At 42.7% G+C, this 27,392-nt stretch overlaps 1 protein-coding gene across 17 annotated transcripts in view, besides 1 other annotated feature; it reads right to left on the reverse strand.

Moving 5' to 3' along the window:
• The window catches only part of THOC2 (THO complex subunit 2), a 132,484-nt gene extending 115,769 nt beyond the window's left edge, over window positions 1-16,715 (reverse strand). For all 17 annotated transcript variants that reach the window (XR_007068195.1, NM_001081550.2, NM_001441236.1 and 14 more), the window contains exon 1: window positions 16,615-16,715. Coding sequence is in view for 16 of the 17 variants with exons in the window: in NM_001081550.2 (NP_001075019.1) it covers window positions 16,615-16,685 (71 nt within the window). In the remaining variant the exon portion in view is untranslated. The remainder of the gene's footprint in view (window positions 1-16,614) is intronic.
• Window positions 16,651-16,730: an enhancer, noted in NCBI's record as "active region_29909". NCBI's record gives its function as "activates an Ori minimal core promoter by ATAC-STARR-seq in GM12878 lymphoblastoid cells {active_cell/tissue: GM12878}" and the evidence as "EXISTENCE:reporter gene assay evidence [ECO:0000049][PMID:35858748]".

Below are 27,392 nucleotides of genomic sequence, written 5' to 3' on the forward strand. Positions count from 1 at the left end.
GGGAGGCTAAGGCAGGTGGATCACTTGAAGTCACGAATTGGAGACCAGCCTGGCCAACATGGTGAAACCCCATCTCTACTAAAAATATAAAAAGCAGCTGAGTGTGGGCCGGGCACGGTGGCTCACGCCTGTAATCCCAGCATTTTGGGAGGCCGAGGCGGGTGAATCACAAGGTAAGGAGATCGAGATCATCCTGGCTAACACGGTGAATCTCCGTCTCTACTAAAAATACAAAAACAAAATTAGCCAGGTGTGGTGGCAGGCGCGTGTAGACCCAGCTTCTCGGGAGGCTGAGCCAGGAGAATGGCGTGAACCCGGGAGGCGGAGCTTGCAGTGAGTCAAAATGGCGCCACTGCACTCCAGCCTGGGCGACAGAGCGAGACTCTGTCTCAAAAAAAAAAAAAAAAAAAAGTAGCCGAGTGTGATGGCGTGCGTCTGTAATCCCAGATACTTGGGAAGCTGAGGCAGGAGAATCGCTTGGACCCAGGAGGTGGAGGCTGCAGTGCTGCAGTGAGCCGAGATCTCACCACTGCACTCCAGCCTGGGCGACAGAGCAAGACTCCATATCAAAAAAAAAATACATACTAACTATAGAATGAATGTTCCTCAACACACACAAAAAAAGGCCATAAATAACAAGCCCATAGCTAACATTATATTCAATAGTGAAAAGTTGAAAGTTTTTCCTCTAAGATCAGGTACCTGCCCACTCTCTCCACTTCTATCCAACAGAGTACTAAAAGTCCTTGCCAGAGCAATTGGGCAAAAAGAAGAAATGAAAGTTATCCAAACAAGAAAAGAAGTGAAATTGTCTCTGCTGACAAAATGATCTTATATTTAGAAAATCCTAATGACTACACCATAAAGTTAGAAATAATAAATATACTGTATCCATCAAGGCAAAAAAATTTTTTTAAAAAAGGAAATAATAAATAGGGTAAAATCACAGGATATAAAAATCAACACACAAAAATAGGTAGTGTTTCTATATACTAACAATGAACTACCTGAAAAAAATTTTTAATTCCATTTAAAATAGCTATATTGTAGCATTGCAAGAATGGCAAAAAGAGAAAAATAAAAATAAAAATATAATAGCTACAAAAATAAAATACTTAGTAATAAATTTAACCAAGGAGGTGAAAGATCCATACACCACAAGCTATCAAATGCTGATGAAAGAAACTGAAGATGACAAATAAATGAAAAGATATTCCATGCTGATTGATTAGAATAATTAAGATTGTTTAAATGTCCATGCTACCCGAAGAGATATAAAGACTCAATGCAATCTCTATCAAAACACCAATGCCATTTTTCACAGAAACAGAAAAATCCTAAAATTTATATGGAACCAAAAAAAAAAAAAAAACCAATAGCCAAGGCAATCCTGAACAAAAAGAAAAAAGCTAAAGTATCACACTATTTGACTTCAAGGTACAGTTGGCCCTCTGTATCCACGGGGGATTGGTTCCAGGACCATCTCCCACACACACCAAATTCACAGATGCTCAAAAGTCCCTTATATATGGCATATATACAGTCATCCTTCTGCGTCCGCAGGTTCCGCATCTGCGGATTCAACCAACTGTAGATAGAAAAATACTTAACAGTCAGCCCTCCATATCCACAGCTTTTGATCTGCAGTTGGTTGAATCTGTGGATGCAGCCAACCCACTAAATATAAGGCCAGCCAACTGTATATTACAAAACTAGGGTAATTAAAAGAGCATGGCGCTGGCATAAAAACAGACACATCAACCAATGGAACAGAATAGAGAGCGCAGATATTAATCCATGCATTTATAGCCAATTAATTTTCAACAAAGGGTACCAAGAACACATAATGGGAAAAAAGACAGTCTCTTCAATAAAGAATGTTGGGAAAACTTAATATCCACATACAGAACAATGAAACTGGACACTTACTTCACACCATATACAAAAATCAACTCAAAATGAATTAAAGACTTAAATGTAAGACCTGAAACTATAAAAATCCTAAAAGAAAAAATAGGGGAAGAGCTACACAACACTGGTCTGGGCTATAATTTTTTAGATTTGACCCCAAAAGCTCAAGTAATTAAAGCAAAAATAGACAAATGGGATTACATCAAACAAAAAAAGTTTCTACACAGGAGGCCGGGTGCAGTGGCTCATACCTATAATCCTAGCAGTCTGGGAGGCCAAGGCAGGCAGATAATCTGAGGTCAGAAGTTCAAGACAAGCCTGACCAACATGGAGAAACCCTTCTCTACTAAAAATACAAAAATTATCCGGGCATGGTGGCGCATGCCTGTAATGCCAGCTACTCAGGAGGCTGAGGCAGGAGAATCGCTTGGATCCAGGAGGCAGAGATTGCAGTAAGCCAAGATCGCGGCACTGCACTCCAACCTAGGCAACAGAGCGAGACTCTGTCTCAAAAAAAAAAAGTTTCTACACAGGAAAGGAAACAATTAACAGTGTGATGGAGACAACCTATGGATTCAGAGAAAATATTTGCAAGCCAAACATCAAATATGGGGTTAATATCCAAAATATATAAAGAAGTCAAGGGGCCGGGCACGGTGGCTCACGCCTGTAATCTCAGCACTTTGGGAGGCCGAGGTGGGCGGATCATGAGGTCAGGAAATCGAGACCATCCTGGCTAACATGGTGAAACCCTGTCTCTACTAAAAAAATTCGAAAAAATTAGTCGGGTGTGGTGGCGGGCGCCTGTAGTCCCAGCTACTCGGGAGGCTGAGGCAGGAGAATGGCGTCAACCCGGGAGGCAGAGCTTGCAGTGAACAGAGATGGTGCCACTGCATTCCAGCCTGGTCAACAAAGCAAGACTTCGTCTCCCAAAAAAAAAAAAAAGAAGTCAAGAAAACAACCCAATTTTAAAATGGGCAAAGGACTTGAGTAGACATTTCTCAAAAGACATACAAATGACCAACAGAAAAAAAAACCTCAAAATCATTAATAACTAGGGAAATGCAAATTAAAACTACAATGAGATACCACCTCACACCTGTCAGAATGGCTATTATCAAAAAGACAAAAAATAAGTATCGAAGATGTGGATAAAAGGGAACTCTTGCCAAGCGTGGTGGCTCAGGTCTGCAATCCTAGCCTTTTCGGAGGCCAAGGATAAGAATTGCTTGAGGCTAGGAGTTGAGACCAGCCTGGGCAACCTAGCAAGACTCCATCTCTACAATCAACATATGCTGACATCACGCCACTGCACTCCAGCCTGGGCAACAGAGTGAGACCCTGTCTCAAAAAAAAAAAATTAAAAAATAAAACATATTTCCAAAATAAAAGAAAATGGTGATGCCAGCCAGGCACGGTGGCCCATGCCTGTAATTCTAGCAATTTGCAAGGCCGAGGCAGGAAGATTCCTTGAGGTTAGTTGGAGATCAGCCTGAACAACATAGCAAGACCCTGTCTCTACAAAAAAAAAAAAAGAAAGAAATAGGCATTGTGGTGTGAGTCCTAGCTACTCGGGAGGCTGAAGCGGGAGGATTGCTTGAGTCCAGGGGTTTCAGGTTATGATGAGCTATGATTTCACTACAGCACTCCAGCCTGGGCAACAAAGCAAAATGCTGTCTCAAAAACAAAAATAAAAAATAATAAGCCTGGGTAACAAAGAGACCTCATCTCCACAAAAAATAGACAAAACTAGCCCGGCATGGTGGTGCAGGCCTATAGTCCCAGTTACTTGGGAGGCTGAGGTGGGAGGATCACTTGAGCCCAGGAGGTCAAGGCTGCAGTGAGCTGAGATCATGCCATGCACTCCAGCCTAGGCAACAGAGTGAGACCTTGTCTCAAAAAAAAGAAAAAAAATAGGCCAGGCATGTGGCTCACACCTGCAATCCCAGTCTTTTTGGAGGCCGAGGCATGAGAATTGCTTGAGGCTAGGAGTTCGAGACCAGCCTGGGCAACCCAGCAAGACTCCATCTCTACAAAAAAAATTTAAAAATTAGCGGGTCATGGTGGCACATCCCTATAGTCCCAGCCACTTAGGAGGCTGAGGCAGGAGAATCACTTGAGCCCAGGAGTTCAAGGTTACGGTGAGCTATGATTGCACCACTGCACTCCAGCATGGGTGACAAAGCAAAAGCCTATCTCTCGAAAAAAATTAAATAAAATAAAATAATGCAATTGTTATGAAAAACAGTATAGAGATTCCTCAAAAAATGAAAAGTAGAGCTACCAAATGATCCAGCATTCCTACTTCTGAGTACTTATCCAAAAAAATTTAAGTCAGGATCGCACAGAGATAGCTGCACTCCCATGTTCACTGCAGCATTATTTACAATAGCCTAGAGGTAGAAACAACCTAAATGTCCACCAACAGAAGAGCAAATAAAGAAAACGTCATGTATATCTATGAAAGTAAACATTATTCAGCCATAAAAAAAAGAAGGAAATCCTGTCATGTGCTACAATGTGGATGAACCTTAAGGACAGTGTGCTAAGGTAAGAAGACAGCCACAGGACAAATACTGTATGATTCTACTTATATAAAGTATCTAATGTAGTCAAACTCAGAAGCAAAAAGTAGAATGGTGGTTGTCAGAGGCTGCAGGAAGGGGAAAATGGGGAGTTGGTGTATAATGGATATAAAGTTCAGCTCATAGAAGATGAAAAAGATCAGGAGAAGATCTGCTAACATTGTACTTATAGTTGACAATATTGTACTGCTCACTTAAAATTTGCTAAGAAGGTAGATTTCATGTTAGGTGTTTTTTTTTACCACAGTAAAAAAGTTACTTAAAAATTGTTAATTTTGTTAAATCCTGAACCCTAAGAACATGTTGTTTTGGGGTTTTTTTGTTGTTGCTGGTTTTTTTTGTTTGTTTGTTTGTTTTGAGACAGAGTCTTGCTCTGTCTCCCAGGCTGGAGTGCAGTGGCACTATCTTGGCTCACTGCAGCCTCCACCTCTCAGGCTCAAACAATCCTCCTGCCTCAGCATCCTGAGTAGCTGGGATTACAGGTGTGCACGACCATGCCTGGCTAATTTTTGTATTTTAAGTAGAGATGGAGTTTCACCATGTTGGCCAGGCCAGTCTCGAACTCCTGACCACAAGTGATCTGCCCACCTCGGCCTCCCAAACTGCTGGAATTACAGGAATGAGCCACTGTGCCTGGGCAAGCATGTCTTTTTTTAAGAACACATCCTTTTGGCTCGCATGGTGGCTCACGCCTGTAATCCCAGCAGTTTGGGAGGCCGAGGAGGGCGGATCACTTGAGGTCAGGAGTTCAAGACCAGTCTGACCAAATGGTGAAACCCCATCTCTACTAAAAAATACAAAAATTAGCCAGGCGTGGTAGTGCATGCCTGTAGTCCCAGCTACTCGGGAGCCTGAGGCAGGAGAATCGCTTGGACTCAGGAGGCAGAGGTTGCAGTGAGCCGAGATCACACCACTACACTGCAGCCTAGGCGAGAGAGCAAGACTCTATCTCCAAAAAAAAAAAATTAAAATTAAAAAATAACACATCCTTTCAATAGCCTATATGATGAAATTTAAAAGGTTGCATAAATAATTTCTGCCACACACCCAAATACAACCACAGTATTTGTCTACAGGTAAAGCACTTGTGCGATTGTTTGAATTGCAAGCTGAACTAGCTTGTTTTTATGAAACACCATTTTTTACTTGAAAGAAAAGCAAACTATGGTTTTTAAGACATGGGTCTTTCACAGGCATTTTCTCAAAACTGAACCAAGTGAGCCTGTCACTTCAAGGAAAACAACAGAGTATTTGCTGCCGATGATACGCTTTTACACTGTTGGTGGGGGAGTAAATTAGTTCAACCATTGTGGAAGACAGTGTGGTGATTCCCCAAGGATCTAGAACCAGAAATACCATTTGACTCAGCAATCCCATTACTGGGTATATACCCAAAGGATTATAAATCATTCTACTATAAAGACACATGCACACGTATGTTCACTGCAGCACTATTCACAAGAGTAAAAACTTGGTACCAACCCAAATGCCCATCAATGATAGACTGGATAAAGAAAATGTGGCACATATATACCATGGAATACTATGCAACCATAAAAAAGGATGAGTTCATGTCCTTTGCAGGGACATGGATGAAGCTGGAAACCATCATTCTCAGCAAACTAACACAGGAACAAAAAAACCAAACACCACATGTTCTCACTCATAAGTGAGAGCTGAACAATGAGAACACATGGACACAGGGACAGGAACATCACACACTGGTGCCTGTTGGGGGTTGGGGAGCAAGGGGAGGGAGAGCATTAGGACACATACCTAATGCACGTGGGGCTTAAAACTTAGATGACAGGTTGATAGGTGCAGCAAACCACCATGGCAAATGTATGCCTATGTAACAAACCTGCACATTCTGCACATGTATCCCAGAACTTAAAATTAAAAAAAAATGACAGTTGTAACACATGCAGTGTAACCCAAAAAGGGCTCAAATACAGACTATATAAAGAACCCCTACAAATCAGTGAAAGAAACTCAAGCAACTCAATAACAAAAAAGGCAAAAGATATGACAGAGACCTTTCACAAAAAGAAATAAGAACTCCAGTACAGGCGTGGTGGCTCACGTCTGTAATCCCAGCACTTTGGGAGGCCAAGGCGGGCGGATCATCGGAGGTCCGGAGTTCAAGACCAGCCTGCCCAACATGGTGAAACCCTGTCTCTACTAAAAACACAAAAATTAGCCAGGTGTGGTGGCACACACCTGTAATCCCAGCTACTCAGGAGGCTGAGGCACAAGAATCGCTTGAACTCGGGAGGCAGAGGTTGCAGTGAGCCAAGATCACGCCACCACCGCACTCCAAACTAGGCGACAGAGCAAGACTCTGTCTCAAACAAACAAAAAAAAAGAAGTACTCCAAATGACCAATAACATATAAAAAGATGCTCATGGAAATATAAGCCACAGTAAAATTACATACATATTTACAAAAAATTTAAGTCTGACAATATCAAACATAGTGACAATGTGAAACAAGGTCAACTCATACACTGCTGGTGGGAGTGTACACTGAAATAGCCTGGCAATATCTAACAGAGCTAAAGTGTAACCTATAACCCAGAGATTCTACACCTAGTATATACTCCACAAAAACACATGCTTGTATACACCAAAACTGTTGTATAATAATGTTTCTATTGGCACTGTTAGTAATAGCCAAAAACTAGACGCAACAAAAATGTTTAACAAGACAGCATAAAAATAAACAAATACTGGTATACGATGGAGTATCTTGCAACTATGAAAATGAATGAACTAAAAAAAAAAGGAAAATCAATGAACTGCAAACATACAATATGGATGAATCTTAAAAGTCATAACTGTTGAACAAAAGCAGCCAGAAACAGTAGGATAAATATTCAATGATTTCATTTATATGAAGTTCAAGAAAAAAATTAAACATATTGGGTAATGACACTGCAAAGAAAATCAAGAAAGTTTCTTTGAGTTGAAGATGCAAGGTTAAAAAAAGAGAAAAATCAAGAGGAAAACCATAAATGTCAGGATAATGTTTACTACATGAGAGGTGGGAAAGGTTTGATCGGGAACAAACAGTATGTTGCCTTGACCTGGGTGTAAGTTACATGGGGGTGCATCTTACAGTGATTATTTTAAGCTCTATATTGAGGTTTCATGACTTCTCTGTATTTTCATTACATTTCACAATTTAGAAAAAAATTCTTCCATGTTGCACAAGGCTTTAAAGAGAGCCAATGAATTCATATAGAAGAGTTTCTTACTCTTTTATATCTAGTAATCCTTTTTCTAGTCAATGAAACAAATAATTTTAAGACTTACAGAACCTGCTTATATATCACATCTAAGGCTAAATAAGATGCCAGATTACAATCATCCACAGAGAGATTATCTACTTTGCAGATTATACATAACCTTGCAGCTCACCTCTGTGCCTTCTGATTATGTCAATACCCTATCATCAGGATGAGCAGGGTAAGGTTATTAAAAGTCAACAGAGTAAACTTTTGCTGGTCAACAATTCACTTCTAGGTTTCACAAATATGTTCAAAACCAAAAAATAAAAAGGCAATGGAAGCCGGGCACTGTAGCTCACACCTGTAGTCCCAGAACTCTGGGAGGCTAAGGTGGGTGGATCAGTTGAGGTCAAGAGTTTGAGACCAGCCTGGCCAACATGATGAAACCTCGTCTCCACTAAAAATACAAAAATTAGCTGGACGCAGTGGTGCGCACCTGTAATCCCAGCTACTCTACAGGCTGAGGCAGGAGAATCGCATGAACCCAGGAGGCAGAGGTTGCAGTGAGCCAAGACTGCATCACCGCACTCCAACCTGGGCAACAGAGCGAGACTCTGTCTCAGAAAAAATAAAAATAAAAAATAAGGGCAATGGAGAGCATCTACTAAATTAAATATTTAGTTTGAAAATGTCAGGCCAGGCATAGTAGCTCACGTCTGTAATCCCAGCACTTTGGGAGGCCAAGGTGGGTGAATCACTTGAGCTCAGGAGTTCGAGACCAGCCTGGTAATATCACCTGAGCTCAGGAGTTCAAGACCAGCCTCGTAACGTGGTGAAACCCTGTCTCTACCAAAAACACAAACAATTAGCAGAGCATGGTAGCACGCGCCTGTGGGCCCAGCTACTCAGGAGGCTGAGGTGGGAGGATCGCCAGAGCCCAGGAAGTTGAGACTGCAGTGAGCCAAGATCACACCAGTGAGCCATGATCGCACCACTGCACTCCAGCCTGCACTCCAGGGTGACAGAGCAAGATCCCATCTCAAAAACAAAAACAAAGAAAGAAAATGTCATTTAGCTATTAAACATTTCTCACTAAAAAAATTATTCTGAGAGTACCTTACAAATGGTAAGCTGGTTTAAGTTTGATCCCAAGTACTTTCAACTACTTCCCTGGAGAACTAGACAGGCCTTCTAATGGGTTGAGAAGAGAACAGTGGTTGGTTAAGAACACTGGTTAAAGTTGGATATGCTGGCTCATGCCTGTAATCCCAACACTTTGGGAGGCCGAAGTGGGAGGATCACTTGAGCACAGGAGTACAAGACCAGCCTAGCCAGCCTAGCCAACAAGTGAGACCCCATCTCTACAAAAAAAAAAAAAAAATAGAAAAAAAAAGTAGCCAAGTGTGGTGGCACATGCCTATAATCCCAGCTACTTGGGAGGTTGAGCTGGGAGGATCACTTGAGCCTGCAGGTCGAGGCTGCAGTGAGTGGTGATCGTAGTACCACTGCACTCCAGCCTGGGCAGCCTGGGGAACAGAGTGAGACCCTATCTCAAAAAAAAAAAAAAAAAAAAAACCACGATTAAGCTTCTAATTTCACAAAATACGTTAAACCTAACATAAGTTTATCTGGAATATAAAACAAAATCAATCTTCCTTCCACCAGGCAACACAGAAATAACATCTGCTTCAGACTAGCATCAGAAGATATAACCTAAAAATGCCATCTAGGTCTTTTGTGGAGAGGAGATATATAAGTATATCAAGGTTGCTTCAATATTTACTATGAAGTATTAAAACAATTCCCTCTTTGGGTTCTCATTTCCCTTATAGGGTCAATTCTCTTTAGAATATAATAGCAGGGGCCAGGCACCGTGGCTCACACCTATAATCCCAGCACTTTTAAGAGGCCGAGGAGGGCAGATTACTTGAGGTCAAGAGTTTGAGACTAGCCTAGCCAATATGGTGAAACCCCGTCTCTACTAAAACTACAAAAATTAGCCGGGCTTGGTGGCCAATGCCTGTAATCCCAGCTACTCAGGAAGCTGAGGCAGGAGAATCACCTGAACCCAGGAAGCGGAGGTTGTAGTGGGTCGAGATCGCACCACTGCACTCCAGCCTGGGCGACAGAGTGAGACTCTGTCTCAAAAAAAATAATAATAATAATAGCAGGAAGCACCATGTCTTTGAAAGAAGAATTTAACAGAATAAAGTAACTCATCTTTCCCTTTGTACTCGGGCTACTAAAATGCAATTTCAAATATTCCTTCATATAGAAAAAGAGAAAAAAGAAAAAGAGGAAAGGAAAAGGAAAGGATGAGAAAGAAAGAGAAATAAAATAATTGTTTAAAATTCCTCCTTATTCACTTGAGCCCAGGAGGTCAAGGCTGCAGTGAGCCAAGATCGTGCCACTGCACTCCAGCCTGGGCAACAGAGTGAGACCCTGTCTCAAAAAAAAAAAAAAAAAACTTCTCCTTATAACAATGCACTTGCTTCCTCACATTTTCAATAGTTTCATTTCTATTTAACAATCTTAATGCATGTCTTTTGCAAAAAGCCTTCCAATGGTTGCGGGGAAGAGGTTGCATCAGTGTTGCAAACTCCTACCTAGACTAATGGTACAGTCATCATTACATAACTTTAAGAAATAATTGAAATATAATTCTATATTGTCAGTCACCAGGCTACAAACATGTTCATTAGGACACAGATGACAATGTCATCATGAACTATTAGTTAGAATCTCAAAGATTTGCTCAAGTTGCATATGGAACCATTGAAAGGTTATTACAATAAGGCAATTTGTTTGCATAATAGATACTTACATTTCCCTAGTATAAAAGAGGTATTCCTTTGGCTGGGCGTAGTGGCTCATGCCTGTAATCCCAGCACTTTGGGAGGCTGAGGGGGGAGGATCACTTGAAGCCAGGAGTTTATGACCAGCCTGGGCAATATAGCAAAACCCCATCCCTACTCATACACCCGCACAAAAAAATGTTTTTAATTAGCCAGGCATGGTGGCATGCACCTGTAGCCCTAGCAATTCAGGAGGCTGAGGCAGGAAAATCCCTTGAGCCTGGTGGGGTCAAGCCTGCAGTGAGCCGTGATCGCCTGCACTCCAGCCTAGGTGACAAAGCAAGACCCTGTCTCAAAAAAAACTTAGTTAAAAATAAATTTTTTAATAAAAAAAAAACAGGTATTCCTTAGTTATAACAAGAAACTAAAAACAAACACTGAGATTTTTCCCCAACAAGTAGATGTATCTGTGCTCTTCTCCCTAAGTAATTCACTAATAGAAGTCCACCAAGGATTCTTAAAGAAACTGTTTCTGAACATTACATTTGTCTTACTATACACCTGCCTAATGGTTTTAGGTCACTAACCTAAATTATAGGGAGAGGAAAAAACAAAACTACCTCTAATAGTTGCCCACTTTAATATCGCTTAAAAATAATCAAATTTTCTGTCTCAGTCCAAATTGAAATTATTTTAATCCCTTAATAACTTTCAAATACTTGAGTTTACCATTTTTCCACTTTTTAATTTAATTTTTTAAAAATAAAAATAGAGATAGGTTCTCGCTATGTCGCCCAGAGCTCTCCTGGGCTCAGGCAATCCTTCCTCCTGCCTCAGTTGCCCAAGTAGCTGGGATTACAGGTGTGTGCCACAGTGCACACCACCTTACATGCCACCACGCCAGGCATTCATTTTTTCTACTTTTAAAATAGTTTAGTGCTATTATGGAGATGCTGTCTCAGGTCCCTGAGAATGAGGACAGAATCTACTTTCTGTCAAAAGATGTATGGAAAACTGAATAAAATGTCTGAAGTTCCTTCAAGGACTTAAAAGGTATTTTGTGAATACTTCTTAACATGAGTATACGGCTTTTCATCTTACTTGTTCCCATTTTCCAGTAAAAAGGAAACAGAGTCACAAGCTTAAACTACTTGATTATGCTCACATCTCAAATGTGGCTTTCATATATAGAAGGCTGATGTTCATTTACGCTTCACTTAATTCTTTAAAACAAGACAACAAAAAGGTTAAATGTAGTTAAATAAAGTGCTACCTCTATTATCATTTGTAGAACAGAAACATAACCCACAAAAATGAATACTGGGACAACACAGTTTTATCTTGTAGAAACATGCATTTAAAAGAAAAGGAAACAGGAAATGTTAAAAAAAAAAAAGACAACAGGAGTTGCCGCACTTACAGTAGGAAAAAAGCACAAGTATATTGACAGCACTCACCCTACCTAAACGTTAGAGCATTACAGAATAATTTTTTTTAACAAACAAAGTAGTAGCCTATACAACCTCCTGACATTGCTTCAACATTTTGTGAAGAATGTTTCTCTTCCCAGGAAAACAGACTAAGACTTATACTTAGCTTATGAATACAGGTCGAAATGGGAAATTAAATGCTAAATGAAAACTGAGACATCAAGAAAAGGTTTCAGATAAAGCTTTGGCTGAATTTGGAGCAACTTTGCGAGGAAAAAAGACTCAACCACCAAGACTAAAATTTCTTAGAATGATTATATCCCTTTACCTGGAATCCTCCAAGAAATTCAGATCAGATGGCATGTTCTGAACAACCAAATATACTTAAATAAGTTCTAGAATGTCTAAAATCATGTAGTAGCAGAAGAAGAAAAAGAACAACAATCAAAACATTTGGCAATTAAATTTTAAAACTTTATTGTAACTACCATTAATAAGGTAAGACCTAACAAAACTTTCTAATTGATACCTAAATAAGCTATTCAAACAAACAGATGATATTCAACAAACGTAAGTATTTCAAAATTAGACTAAGTATTAACATGAGGCTAGCATCTTCAGATTAAGAGCTTCGAATATCAATTCTCCATTAAGGTTGCCTGTAACAAAGAAATGCTGAGTTCACTGTGTTAATGATTTCTACCAAAAACAGAATTCTACACTGGATCTACCAGTACATGCAAGTTTATTAGCTTCATCATGGCAAGTTCTACGTCAATATAAAATAATCAAGAAACTAAAACTAATTCCAAAATTAAGTGATTAAATACATATCTTTCAGAATTTGGAAGAGTTTGCATTTAGATATAAGTATTATTGGAAATTACAATTACATTTTGGTAGTCCTCCTTTGCCCTTCTGATCCCTCTTTAAGATCACTTTAAAGGTCACTCTTTAAGAGTTCTATAATTTAGCATTAAAAACATAATTGGTATCTCTGGAAACATAATGGGATATCTAGATATGTGATGGATGGACCATTCAGATAGGCAAAATACAGTTTTACTTTTCTCTCTAATTACCTAATAAAACATTCTTCAAAGTCAAGACCTTCCATTTAATAGACAGTTGTTTTTCATGGCGTACAGTTAAGAATTTGCCCTATCTGAAAGTTATAAAATGCCCCATACATCTCTTATGTTGCTTTCAACACTAGCTGACTACCACCCCCAGAAAAGATTTATGCTGGTAAGAAGTGACAGACAAGAAATGAATTAACAACCTCATGAAATATATCACATTATTTTTAAAAAGATAATTTTCAGTCAAGTTAAAGCTTATCTGCTAATTTATCTTGTTAAAAAGGAAAAATTCACCCAAGGTATAATTTTAAATATTGGTCATATTCTAAACGCCAAATCTATAGCTTCACTAATAATGTGGTGGCACACTACCTTCATTTTTAACATTTCCAGTTGCTGTTTTATATTTCAGAAGCTGTTTTCAGACAAAGGAAAAAGGTTTTTTGTAATATATTTGCACCACCACGTATTCTGCCTAGTAATATGAAAATGCTAACACCTATCTTTAGGAAGACACAAAAACTCCAAAGACATGCTATATGCAACAAAGTTTCATAGAGGGAAAACAGGTCAAATAAACTGAAACTAAGTACTGGATGGTGATGTGTTTAACTATTTAAAATAGCTTATTATGTTACACAATTTTAAATTCTCTTCCTGTAACAGAATGCAATCATAAAACTGACTATACTGATTTGGATCTACTATAATTCAATCCACATTCCACAAGTCATGCAATAACTACATACACGTAAGTTCTAATAACAGGTTTTTTTGCTGTTGTTTTTGGTTTGTTTTTGTTTGGGTTTTTGTTTTTTTTTTTTTTTTAAAGAGTTTCGCTCTTGTTACCCATGCTGGAGTGCAACAGCGCGATCTCCGCTCACCGCAACTTCCGCCTCCCAGATTCAAGCGATTCTCCCGCCTCAGCCTCCTGAGTAGCTGGGATTACAGGCATGTGCCACCACGCTCGGCAAATTTTGTACTTTTAGTAGAGATGGGGTTTCTCCATGTTGGTCAGGCTTGTCTGGAACTCCTGACCTCAGGTGATCCACCCGCCTCGGCCTCCCAATTTGCTGGGATTACAGGCGTGAGCCACCACGCTCGGCTTCTAATAACAGTTTTTAAGCAGCTCTTCAAACATAAGAACTATGACAGATAGCATGTATTATGTAAATATACATAATGTGAACCTAAAATTCCATTTTATCTAAGTATTTCGATCTCCTACATCACTTTTTCTCAAACCATTACCAGTCAGAAGCCAAGCAGAATTTCACCTTATAGCCCTAATACCACTCATGCTAAGGTGGCAGCAATAATAGTAAAACTGTTGGGAGGCCGAGGTGGGCGGATCACCAGGTCAGGAGATGGAGACCATCCTGGATAACACGGTGAAACTCCGTGTCTAGTAAAAATACAAAAAATTAGCCGGGCGTGGTAGCACGCGCCTGTAGTCCCAGCTACTCAGGAGGCTGAGACAGGAGAATCGCTTGAACGTGGGAGGCGGAGGTTACGGTGAGCCGAGATCGCGCCACTGCACTCCAGCCTGGGCGACAGAGCGAGACTCCGTCTCAAGGGGGAAAAAAAAAAGTAAAACTGTCAAAAAACAGTAGCTGAAAGGAGGAAGCTGAGCAATCTACAAACATAACAGCCCCTAAATAAATGAGCTGGCTTTGAAAGTAAACAAAACAATGAACTGCTTTTATCAGTTTTGGGGGATTACCCTAATATCGATGAAGATGATGGTCTGGCTGGGTAACTTCCCATCTTGCCTTCCCCAAACTTGATGGCTATTTGTCAACTAGCTATCAAACTTGACAGCTATTTGTTAACTAGCACATACGAGGATTTGTAAAATGTTCATTATAGTTAAAAACGAAGATTTATCAAATAGCCTTCTCTGACAATTAATAAACCAATAAGCATTCTAAGCATAGGCTGGGGGGGCGGGGCATGTGTTAAACCAAAAGAAATATGAGACATAGTCCCTATATTTCAAAGGCCTCCCAATTCATTACAGTGCAAGAATAAACACACATGAATAAGTCAGAGACCAATTAATTGCTAACCTGAGTGGTACAGACTTTAAGTGCATGAGCTGTCCTGAGAAGTTTAAATATCTAAAGGTTGGAATAATATTACTTTTAATAGCTATCACTTGAGCACTTACTATAAGCCAAGTGCTTTACAGGCATTATTTAGTCTTCACAACAATCCTTTGAGTAGAGTACTTATTATTCCCAATTTACTCAAGGGGAAACAGTCCAAGTGGTTAAGGAACTTACCCAAGGTCACTCAGCTACTTAAGTGGCTAAGACAGCCGCTTATTTAGGGAATTCTAGAGCTCACACTGTTAAGACTTCATACAGCAGTGCGGGGGGTGCGGGGGAGGAAGCCACATAGGCTGGCACTATTACAAGCGCGGGATCCGGCAACGCGTTCCTCGTGTTTCGTTCCAAGTAACGAAGTTACAAAGATTTGAATCTTTAGCATGAGCCACGGTAAACTGGCTACTAGAAATGGAGAGGGGTGGGCAAGGACGACAAAAATGGCTAACGAGGGTTAATTTCATCCAGGGTTGAGCTTTAGCATCTAAAAGCGACCCAGAGAAGGAAATGAGATGTTATTAATATTTGTTCTTATATCTGAGGTTTGCTTTGCTGCTTAAACGACTCCTTCCAGGGGAAGGGGAGGAGGGAGCGCTCTAACGTGGGGGCGAGAAGACTAGGGGTATGGCAAATTACTGTTTTCGGTGTTACGGGGGAAAGTTTCACGACTAAAGGAAACGCGTTATCCTAGGTACTGGAGAAGCTTGGAGAGCTGCCAGAATTAGTTGCAGTCCCAGGATAAAATGGGGTTTAGGGAACATTTAATGACGAAAGTTGAATCCAACCCGAAATAGCTCTAAGGTGAAAAGACGGAGCAAAGAAATGTCGGTGGTTCTTCAGGGAAAGCGGCAATCCCTGCCACACTTCCCCACGGCGCTACGCGAGGCCGGGACAGTCGAGAGACCGCTCCCCGGGAGGGCGAGAGGTGCCAAACCGGGTTCTTCGCGGCGCCCCGGGCTTCGCGGCAGCGGGCGAAGAGGAGGGGAGGGGAATCCGGGACGGTTCGCCCTCCTTGGACTTCAGGCAGAGGAGGCGCCAAGCTCCAAACTGCGGAGTCCAACGGGTGCAGAGTGAAGAAATGGCACAGAGAGAGATGGAAAGTCCGAATTGCCCCGGCTCAGCCCCATAAAGATAAAGGAGCCAAGTGAGATCAAGCGAAGAGGGGGACACAAAAAGAGACCAAGAGGGAGCGCGGAGACCTGCAGGGGCGGAATAAGAGTTCTACTAAGAGGCTAAAGGAAGCCGAGCTACCGCAGGCAGTAGCGATTTCTGGGAGGCCAGGGAAGGAAGGAGGTCCGCGGCGGTAAACAGCACCTCTCCCCGAGTTCGAAACTCCTAGACGACCATCCACGCCCGCCGCCCGGGTGGGGGAGGGGGTACATCTTTCCCCCTCAACCTCCCACTACAGGTGAGAGTGCAGCTGACGCCCTGGCCCGGCCCGGCAGTGCGCCTGCCTCCGGCCCGAACACTCACAATTCGCCTCTCCCTGATTTCTCCCAGTTCTTTATCCACTCTGCGGGAACCACCACAGCCGCGGCCGCCATCTTCCTCTCACTAGTAGCAGAAGCCCGGATGTGTAGCACGCGAGCGAAGGGTCAAAGGGGAGCACCGCCCACGAGGAATGCCGGGAGCTGAGAGTTCGTTTTTCGATTTCCCGCCCCACTTTCCTCTCCACCCAGCGGAAACCCGAGGCAAGGCAGCCAACGACGTGGAGACTCGCGGGCCCCTTTGCGAGGTTACTACACGGGTTGCGCCCTCCGAAGTCTTCGGCCTTACTTCCCATTAGAACAGAGAAATGCCATCCACAGGCCAACAAGTAGACTTCATCTTCTTCCGTAATATCTACCCCTAACCACTAATACAAACACGCATTTTTCAAGCACCTAATATGTGCTAGACACTGGGAATAGAGAAATAATAGTCTTTGGGAAAGCCATAAATATAAGCAAATAAATTACATTACGCCCTGCTGACTGCTGAGATAAAAGAAAATAATCGGGTCCCTCTCCTTCTCCCTCTCCCTCTCCCGTCTCCCTCTCCCGTCTCCCTCTCCCCACGGTCTCCCTCTCCCTCTCTTTCCACAGTCTCCCTCTGATGCCGAGCCAAAGCTGGACTGTACTGCCATCTCGGCTCACTGCAACCTCCCTGCCTGATTCTCCTGCCTCAGCCTGCCGAGTGCCTGCGATTGCAGGTGCGCGCCGCCACGCCTGACTGTTTTTCGTATTTTTTTGGTGGAGACGGGGTTTCGCTGTGTTGGCCGGGCTGGTCTCCAGCTCCTAACCGCGAGTGATCCGCCAGCCTCGGCCTCCCGAGGTGCCGGGATTGCAGACGGAGTCTCGTTCACTCAGTGCTCAATGGTGCCCAGGCTGGGGTGCAGTGGCGTGATCTCGGCTCGCTGCAACCTCCACCTCCCAGCCGCCTGCCTTGGCCTCCCAAAGTGCCGAGATTGCAGCCTTTGCCCGGCCGCCACCCCGTCTGGGAAGTGAGGAGCCTCTCTGCCTGGCCGCCCATCGTCTGGGATGTGAGGAGCCCCTCTGCCTGGCTGCCCAGTCTGGAAAGTGAGGAGCGTCTCTGCCCGGCCGCCATCCTGTCTAGGAAGTGAGGAGCGTCTCTGCCCGGCTGCCCATCGTCTGGGATGAAGTGAGGAGCGTCTCTGCCTGGCCGCCCATCGTCTGAGATGTGGGGAGTGCCTCTGCCCCGCCGCCCCGTCTGGGATGTGAGGAGCGCCTCTGCCCGGCCGCGACCCCGTCTGGGAGGTGAAGAGCGTCTCTGCCCGGCCGCCCCGTCTGAGAAGTGAGGAGACCCTCCGCCCGGCAGCCGCCCCGTCTGAGAGGTGAAGAGCGTCTCCGCCCGGCCGGCCGCCCCGTCCGGGAGGGAGGTGGGGGGGTCGGCCCCCCGCCCGGCCGGCCGCCCCGTCCGGGAGGTGACGGGCGCCTCTGCCCGGCCGCCGCTACTGGGAAGTGAGGAGCCCCTCTGCCCGGCCACCACCCGGTCTGGGAGGTGTACCCAACAGCTCATTGAGAACGGGCCATGATGACAATGGCGGTTTTGTGGAATAGAAAAGGGGGAAAGGTGGGGAAAAGATTGAGAAATCGGATGGTTGCTGTGTCTGTGTAGAAAGAGGTAGACATGGGAGACTTTTCATTTTGTTCTGTACTAAGAAAAATTCTTCTGCCTTGGGATCCTGTTGATCTATGACCTTACCCCCAACCCTGCGCTCTCTGAAACATGTGCTGTGTCCACTCAGGGTTAAATGGATTAAGGGCGGTGCAAGATGGGCTTTGTTAAACAGATGCTTGAAGGCGGCAGGCTCGTTAAGAGTCATTACCACTCCCTAGTCTCAAGTACCCAGGGACACAAACACTGCAGAAGGCCGCAGGGTCCTCTGCCTAGGAAAACCAGAGATCTTTGTTCACTTGTTTATCTGCTGACCTTCCCTCCACTATTGTCCTATGACCCTGCCAAATCCCCCTCTGCGAGAAACACCCAAGAATGATCAATAAAAAAAAAAAAAAAAGTCAACAGAAAAAAAAAAAAAAAAAAGGAAGGAAAACTTTCCAGAAGAGAGATGTGTCTAGCACAAGAGAAGAGGAATAGTCCTGAGCCTGGAGGATTATTTTGCAGGAATCTCACAGGGCAGTTCCTAATGCAGGAGAATTAAAATAGGCTTTTCCTGGTGTATTTCTTGCAAACATTTTGGGCCAAGTGGCCTTCCCACACCCTCACATGAGCCTGCTTCCCTCCCACTCCTCTGTCATCAGGGCATTTCTGTTTAGGAACAGCAGGTCTAATATTGACTTAAATAAAGCAGACTTGACAGAAAAAAAAAAAAAAAGAAAGAAAGAAAATGTGGCACATATACACCATGGAATACTATGCAGCCATAAAAAATGATGAGTTCATGTCCTCTGTAGGGACATGGATGAAGCTGGAAACCATCATTCTCAGCAAACTATCACAAGGACAAAAAACCAAACACCTCATGTTCTCATTCATAGGTGGGAATTGAACAATGAGAACACTTGGACACAGGAAGGGGAACATCACACACCGGGGTCTGTTGTGGGGTGGGGGGCGATAGCATTAGGATATATACCTAATGTAAATGACGAGTTAATGGGTGCAACACACCAACATGGCCCATGTATACATATGTAACAAACCTGCACGTTGTGCACGTGTACCCTATAACTTAAAGTATAATAAAAAAATTAAAAAAAAAAAAAACACACGTTTGGCAGAAAATACAGACAATCCAAATGAAGAAATCCTACCCCACATATGAACTTTAGAGCTAGTATCTTCTAAATATGGCAAGTTTTGTCAAATGAACCAGGTTCATTTGCATTGAAAAACTATTTAAGTTATGTGCTGTATTCAGAACTGGTTCTGGGAAAATGCTCCATTGTTTATGATTGTTTTTCACCAGCTGTATCTAGTCTTCTAGTGTCCTGTCTCACTTTGAAATTCTAAAGCCACCCACTAGAAAATATCCACCTATTAACTTCAGTGATTTCTGCTTGTAAAAACCTTCTGCCGTTTTGAGGAGGATCAAATATAGAAGTGCCCTCTAATCTTTTCATGTTTCCTTATTATGGACAATTTAAAATGTATACAAAGCAAACAGAATGATACAGTGAATCTTCATGTACCATCATCCTTCCTGGAAAACTTTGAAGTCATTATTACAAGACGGCTTCTGTGATACAAGAAGCACTATCTTGCTACTTATGTATACTTCTCTGTGTAGTCTACAGCAAGGACTTTCAACCTGGGTCAGATAATTTTTTGTGGGGATAGGGGGGATGGGGGCCAGGGGGCAGGGGTCCTCTGCATTGTAGAATGTTTAGCAACATCTCTGGCCTTGACTCACTAGATGTCAGTAGCAGCCCCCATACACACACACACACACACACACACACACACACCCACACCAGTTATTACAACCGTTTCCAGACATTGCTAAATGTCTCCTGGAGGGCAAAACAGTCCCCTTTTGAGAACCACTGAGCTACAGTATTCTCCTGTACTGTGGCTTACCTTGCCACGTATCACAGTGATTTCTTCTTCCAAACATTGAACTGTGCAGTATGCATAGTAATCAGTATGTCACACTTGTGGTATGACCTGAGTGCAATGATGCCCTTTGAGGCCTGGTTTTCCCTTCTTCCAGAAACTGCAGAACTATTTTTACATGGTATGATGACTCCTTTAGGAATTACTCAGAGCTAATTGGCTTTTTGATCTATAAGATTGCAAAGCTATTAAATCTTCTGCATCCTTGTTGTTGGCTTGCCTGCTCTTTGCTATCAGCATCTGGTATTATCTCAGCAGCTGGGGGGATTTTTCCCTGGTGATCTCACAAGCTCATGGATACCAATGTGCTATTCAGGGACTGAGGTCTGTGGTGGAGGCCAGGGATTGGGTAGTTTCAATGTTGACAGTCTGATGCATGGAATGATAGGTTGATTTTAGGTTACTGTAAGGTCAAGCAATCTTATAACTTACCATCTCAGTGAAGACAAATAATGGGACCAAAAAGGAAGCACATAAAAGCAAAACAAGACAAAATAACAAAATAATTAAAGAATGAATGCAAAGGGTTTTTTGAGATTTAAAATGAAGAAAAGTTCTTTAGAATAAGCTACTTGATAACTTCTGCATTTTATGCTAAGGCTGTTTATGCCAAACCAATCTACTTGTCTCCTTCCTGTCTACAGTGCTCCTTTGGTAAAAACAAGATCTTTTCTTTTTCTTTTTCTTTTTCTTTTTCTTTTTCTTTTTCTTTTTCTTTTTCTTTTTCTTTTTCCTCCCACTTCAGCCTCCCAAACAGCTGGGACTAAAGGCACTCACCACCACACCCGGCTAATTTTTGTATTTTTTGTAGAGGCAGCCCAGACTGGTCTCAAACTCCTGAGCTAAAACGATCTGCCCACCTCGGGCTCCCAAAGTGCTGGGATTACAGGCGTGAGTCACTGTGCCCCACTGAAATCTAGCTATTTTTAAGGGACATCCCTAAAACACAGGGACACAAGAAGTTTGAAAGTGAAATGATGGGGCAAATACACCAGCCAAATACTAATATCAACAAAAATTAAGCTGTTGTAACTTAATTTCTTTTGTCTTTTAATTTCTTCTTGATATTAAGGTAAATATCAGATAAAATAGACTTTAAAAGAAAAATAAGTCCGGGTGCGGTGGCTCGTGCCTGTAATCCCAGCACTTTGGGAGGCCGAGGAGGGCAGATCACGAGGTCAGGAGATCGAGACCATCCTGGCTAACTCGGTGAAACCCCGTCTCTACTAAAAATACAAAAAATTAGCCGGGCGTGGTGGCGGGTGCCTGTAGTCCCAGCTACTCGGGAGGCTGAGGCAGGAGAATGGCGTGAACCCGGGAGGCGGAGCTTGCAGTGAGCCAAGATCGCGCCACTGCACTCCAGCCTGGGCAACGGAGCAAGACTCCGTCTCAAAAGAAAAAAAAGACAAAGCCAGGCACGGTGGCTCACGCCTGTAATCCCAGCACTTTGGGAGGCCAAGGAGGGTGGATCACATGAGGTCAGGAGTTTGAGACAAGCCTGACCAACACGGTGAAACTCCATCTCTACTAAAAATACAAAATTAGCCGTGCATGGTGGTGCATCTCTGTAATCCCAGCTACTTGAAAGGCTGAGGCAGGAGAATCGCTTGAACTGGGGAGGCGGAGGTTGCAGTGAGCAGAGATGGCAACATTGTTCTCCAGCCTGGGCAACGAGTGAGACTCTGTCTCAAAAATAAAGAAAATAAAAGAAACATAATTACTATGTTTAAGGAGGGTTACTATGTATTCATAAAAGTTTCAATTGACTGAGAAAATATAGCAATCCTAGTCTTGAATGTACTCAATTACAGTTTTGAAACATGTGAAGCAAAAATTAACAGAACTACGAGAACAAATTGACAAATTCACCACCACAGACAGGGTCTTTAGTTCATGTCTCTCAGAAATTGACAGATGAAGCAGACAAAATAATCAGTGATGATGTAGAAAATTTGAACAAATGAATATGCTTGATCTGGTAGCTATACATAGAACACTGTACCTAGCAACTGGAAAATAAACATCCTTTATAAGAACACATGAACAGAAGTAGAGGGAGGGAGTGAAGAAAAGAAAAAAAAAAAAGAAGAAGCAGGGCCGTGTTCACAGATCAAAGGGACCTAGCCAAAGGGAAAAGTGGGGGCCAAACTCCATGCCATGCTCCACTTGCCAAACCACACGTTCAAGTGTGGTACTGCATTTAGCTGGAAGATAGAGCATATTTTCCTAATTCACACAAAGGCAATGTGTCATCTAGTGGTGGTCCAGCACATCGAACGTGTATAAAAATTAACCATATACTAGCTTTAAAAAAAAACAAATGTCGGCCAGCCGCGATGGCTCATGCCTATAATCCCAACACTTTGGGAAGCCGAGGCTGGCGGATCACTTGAGGTCAGGAGTTTGAGACCAGCCTGGCCAACATGGTGAAACCACTTCTCTACCAAAAAAAAAAAAAAAAAAAAAAAAAAAATTAGCCAGGTGTGGTGGCACAAGCCTGTAATCCCAGCTACTCGGGAGGCTGAGGCAGGAGAATCACTTGAACCTGGGAGGTGGAGGTTGCAGTGAGCCGAGATTGCACCACTGCACTCCAGCCTGAGTGACAGAGTGAGACTCTGTCTCAAAGAAAAAATAAAAATATAAAATAAGTAAACAAGTTTCAAAGAATCAATCTTAACCAGTTCACATTTTCTGACCACAATGCAATTAAATTGTAAATCAATAACAAAAAGATAAAGAAAGAAAATTATAAAAAAGAAAATGATCATACTTTGAAATAAATCACAGGTCAAAGAAAAAGTCAAAAAAGATAAAATACTTAGTACCAAATAATAACAAAAATATTACATATCACAACTAATGACAGAAATTATGGGTTGCAGCTAAAGTGATATTTTAAAAAATATGCCCTTACACCTTTGTATTATTAAAGAAAAAAAGGTTGAAAATTCAAAAGCTAAGCATCCAATAACAGAGTAAACAGAGTAAATGAAAATAGAAATAAAGAAACTTTAAAATAGCAAACATTCATACAATTCCAGAATAAGCAGGGTTTTTTGTGGTTGTTTGTTTGTTTTTGAGACAGAGTCTCGCTCTGTCACCCAGGCTGAAGTGCAATGGTGCAATCTTGGCTCACTGCAACCTTTGTCTCTTGAGTTCAAATGATTCTCATGCCTCAGTCTCCGGAGTAGCTGGGATAATTTTCTTGTATTTTTAGTAGAGACAGGTTTTTCTCTATGTTGGCCGGCTGGTCTCTAACTCCTGGCCTCAAGTGGATCCACCTGCCTTGGCCTGCCAAAGTGCTGGGATTATAGGCTTGAGCCACTGTGCCTGGCTGAGAATAAGCAGGTATCTTTAAAAAATTAATGAAAAAGAAAATATCCATTATAAAGGATCAATAAAACCAAAACTTGGCTGGTTGAAAAGTCTAATAAAATTGACAATCTTCTGGCAAGACTGATCATAAAAAGGAAGAGAGAAGCTACATATAAACCAGTACTAGGAATTATATCATTGGGTTCATGACAGGAAGCAGATGACATACTTAAAAGGAATAATTAAAGAGAGTTTAATGAAACAACCATGCACAAGGATGTGGGCAGGATTAAGGGAAACCTACAACAGGTGGTGAAGCACCTCTGGGATAGCAACACGAGAAAACATTAGCACTCCTAAGCCTCTAGGGGCAAGGGGAGGGAGTCCTTACCAAAAACTAGTGAGAGCTGTAGCAGTAGCTATAAGGAAAGCAACACCCAAAGGGAACTGTGGGTTTCTGTGGAGAAATATAGTCACTGCCAATTCATATCCCAGCAGGGAGGGAGTCTGAAAAATACCCCAATCTTTCTCTCCTTCACCATCTGATCTCCTGCTGATACCTCCCATGGGCTAAAGGCTAGAAGAAGTCACAATGCAAAAAATGCTGGTGAATGCAGTTTATATGGGTCAGGGGACAGAGCAGGCTGGAGAAAGGTTAAAAGTGGATCTTGAAAGGGAAAACAGAATTTCCAGTACTGCCCATTCCTTTTGTCCCCTCTACATCCACTCTTGCTTTTTGTCTGGATGAAAAACTCATGTCCTCAAAACAGAATGTTCAAAGTCCTATCAGCTACTGTATCATTACAGGATGATGTTGATTCATTCATATATATGCCCACATGAAATCTAAAATATTAGCCAACACCAGTGGTTTTTACACAAAGTAGAAGAGAAGGAGGAGCTATTAACATAAACATAGTTGCTACAGTCCCCGCTTCTAAAACGGGAAGCAAGCCTTCAGTTGATAATCATACCTCTTTTTTCTATCATTCACTCCATGTTTCCCTTATCCTCTTCCAGCATCTCAGCAGGCCGGGATACATTACCTGATAAAGTTCCTGAAACCTTTATCGCCACTGAATCTGGGTCCTTATAATCTTGCCTTGATTGAATTACCAGTTTTCATTGACCAATACTATTGAGCAAGAGAGTGATAAGAGGAAGCCCACTGAAAGTCGGTGGGTTCTAGACACAGTCCTTCTTGCCTTCATTGTGTAGTAGTCAGAATAGACCACCCTGCTCAGTACAGTGACTCCTTATTTGCCCCCTGTTCATCATGCTGCTGTTCGAAGATTGAGGAGCATAAAATGGCCAGAGAGCAGGGTGTCAGCTTCTCAAATGTCAGAATCCTGTCATATTCCCTGGTGGAAGCATTTCTCCTGCACTAGAACTTCCTAACCCACTGAGTCCAACATGTAGAAATGGAAAGCAAATATTTTTTCAGTGAGGGGGTCACTCCTACCTCTACCCCTTGAATCTTGGACCCATACACTATGGCAACAATGGAGAGAATATGATATATTGGCCTATGATGTAAAGCACATAGTAGGTTCAGTAGGACAGAATCCCAAACTTGCTGGGTGCTGCCACCCTGCTGGTGTCATTACTGAGCTTTCATCAGGAAATTTCACCATTCTGAGAAATAAAAATAAAATCCTGGCTGAGTGCGGTGGCTCACACCTGTAATACCAGCATTTTGGGAGGCCAAGGCAGGTGGATCACTTGAGGTTAGGAGTTAGATTCCAGCCTGATCAACATGATGAAACCCCATCTCTACAAAAATACAAAAATCAGCTGGGCATGGTGGCGGGCGCCTGTAATCTCAGCTACTTGGGAGGCTGAGGCAGGAGAATCACTTGAACCCAGGAGGCAGAGGTTGCAGTGAGCCGAGATCATGCCATTGCACTCCAGCCTGGGCCACAGAGCGAGACTCTGTCTCAAAAAAAAAAAAAAAAATTAAAAATTAAAAACATAATAAAATAAAATCCAGGCTGGGCGTGGTGCATCACGCATGTAATCCCAACACTTTGGGAGGCCAAGGCTGGCAAATCACGAGATCAGGAGTTCGAGACCAGCCTGACCAACATGGAGAAACACCGTCTCTACTAAAAATACAACAAAATTAGCCAGGCGTGGTGGCAGGCACCTGTAATCTCAGCTACTCGGGAGGCTGAGGCAGGAGAATCACTTGAACCCGGGAGGCAGAGGTTGCAGTGACCTGAGATTGCACCACTGCGCTATAGCCTGGGTGACAGTGTGAGACTCCGTCTCAAAAAATTAAATTAAATTAAATTAAATTCTATGCCCCCACCCACCACTGCAACCCACTAAACGGCCCCTCTCTTGGCTAAGTGGGCCCCAGAGAAACTTTCAAAACTTAGTTCCCAGCCATGATGGGATGGGAGATAGGACATGCCTCATTTTACCCCCTCTCTTGCTAACTGCCAATAAGCTTTCTTCCCTAAGAGTTAAACAGAAACCAGTGCTTTTGAAAGATTTGCTCCACCACTGATATCAACCAACCACCTGACACCTGATGGTGCCCCTCCCTTTTGTGGTTTGATACAACAACTGACTAGCATTTCTTCCTGATCAGAGGCCACTGATCATGGGGTAGTTCTGACTATTCTACAGAGGCTGCGCACAGAGGAATTTCATGTCCTCTGCTTCACCTTTTGATGTATAGAGCCTAATTGTAATACATCTAAATGTTAAGTCTCTATCCCAAAGTGAACATGGGACACCTGTTGCCTACATGTTAGCTTACTACACATGCCTGTGCCTCTCCTTCATGAATAGTCATAGCTCCTCTTATAACCTGTTGAATATGTATACTTAGCCAACCCTCTTAGCTTCAATTCTTGTTCCCTTTACTCCTCCCTTGATGTGTCCAGCCAGAGACTTTGCTTCCCAGCATGCAAGATTGCCAGCCTGCAGGTTGCAACCCCTTATGAGAAATAAAACTCTCAGCGGCCGGGCACGGTGGCTCACACCTGTAATCCCAGCACTTTGGGAGGCCGAGGTGGGTGGATTACCTGAGGTCAGGAGTTTGAGACCAGCCTGGCCAACATGGTGAAACCCTGTCTCTACTAAAAATACAAAAATTAGCTGGGTGTGGTGACACATGCCTGTAATCTACTCAGGAGGCTGAGGCAGGAGAATCGCTTGAACCCAGGAGGCGGAGGTTGCAGTGAGCTGAGATCGTGCCACTGTACTCCATCATGGGCAACAGAGTGAGACTCCATAAAAACTCTCCTTTCCAAATGTATAAACCTCATCATTTTTCAGTTGATGTGGTTCTTCAGTTGACATATCAAGACAGATGTTTTTGCATGATGGGACACAGGATAAGATCAATTAATTCCATGGAGATGAGCTTATCACATTTCCTTCATCCTAAAATGAGTTCCTTTGTTGGTGGCACTGTTCGGTGGGATGCCATGTTGATGAATAAGGCATTCTATGAGTCCACATGGTGGTGCTGGCAAAAACACTACAAGTATGAAAAGCAAATTTGTATTCAGACTATGTATCTATTCCTGTAAGGACATTTTGTGCCTTCTCCCATGATGAAAGGAGTCTAGTGTAACTAACCTCCCACCAGATGACTATCTGGTTCCCTGTGGAATGGAACCACACTGATGCTTTAGCCTTTGGTCTCTGCTGATAAGCAGATTGCCCATTAAACAGTGATGCTAGAGAGATCAGCTCCAGTGAGAAGAACCTGCTGTCGAGTCCACATATAGACCCCATTCCAGCTGCCATGACCATTTTGTTCAAGGGCCTACTGAGCAAACATTAAGGTAGCTGAAGGAAAAGGTTGGCTAACATCAACAAAATAGATCATCTCATCCACTTGA

Source organism: Homo sapiens, chromosome X (genome assembly GCF_000001405.40).
Source record: "Homo sapiens chromosome X, GRCh38.p14 Primary Assembly".
In the NCBI taxonomy this organism is placed as follows: domain Eukaryota; kingdom Metazoa; phylum Chordata; class Mammalia; order Primates; family Hominidae; genus Homo; species Homo sapiens.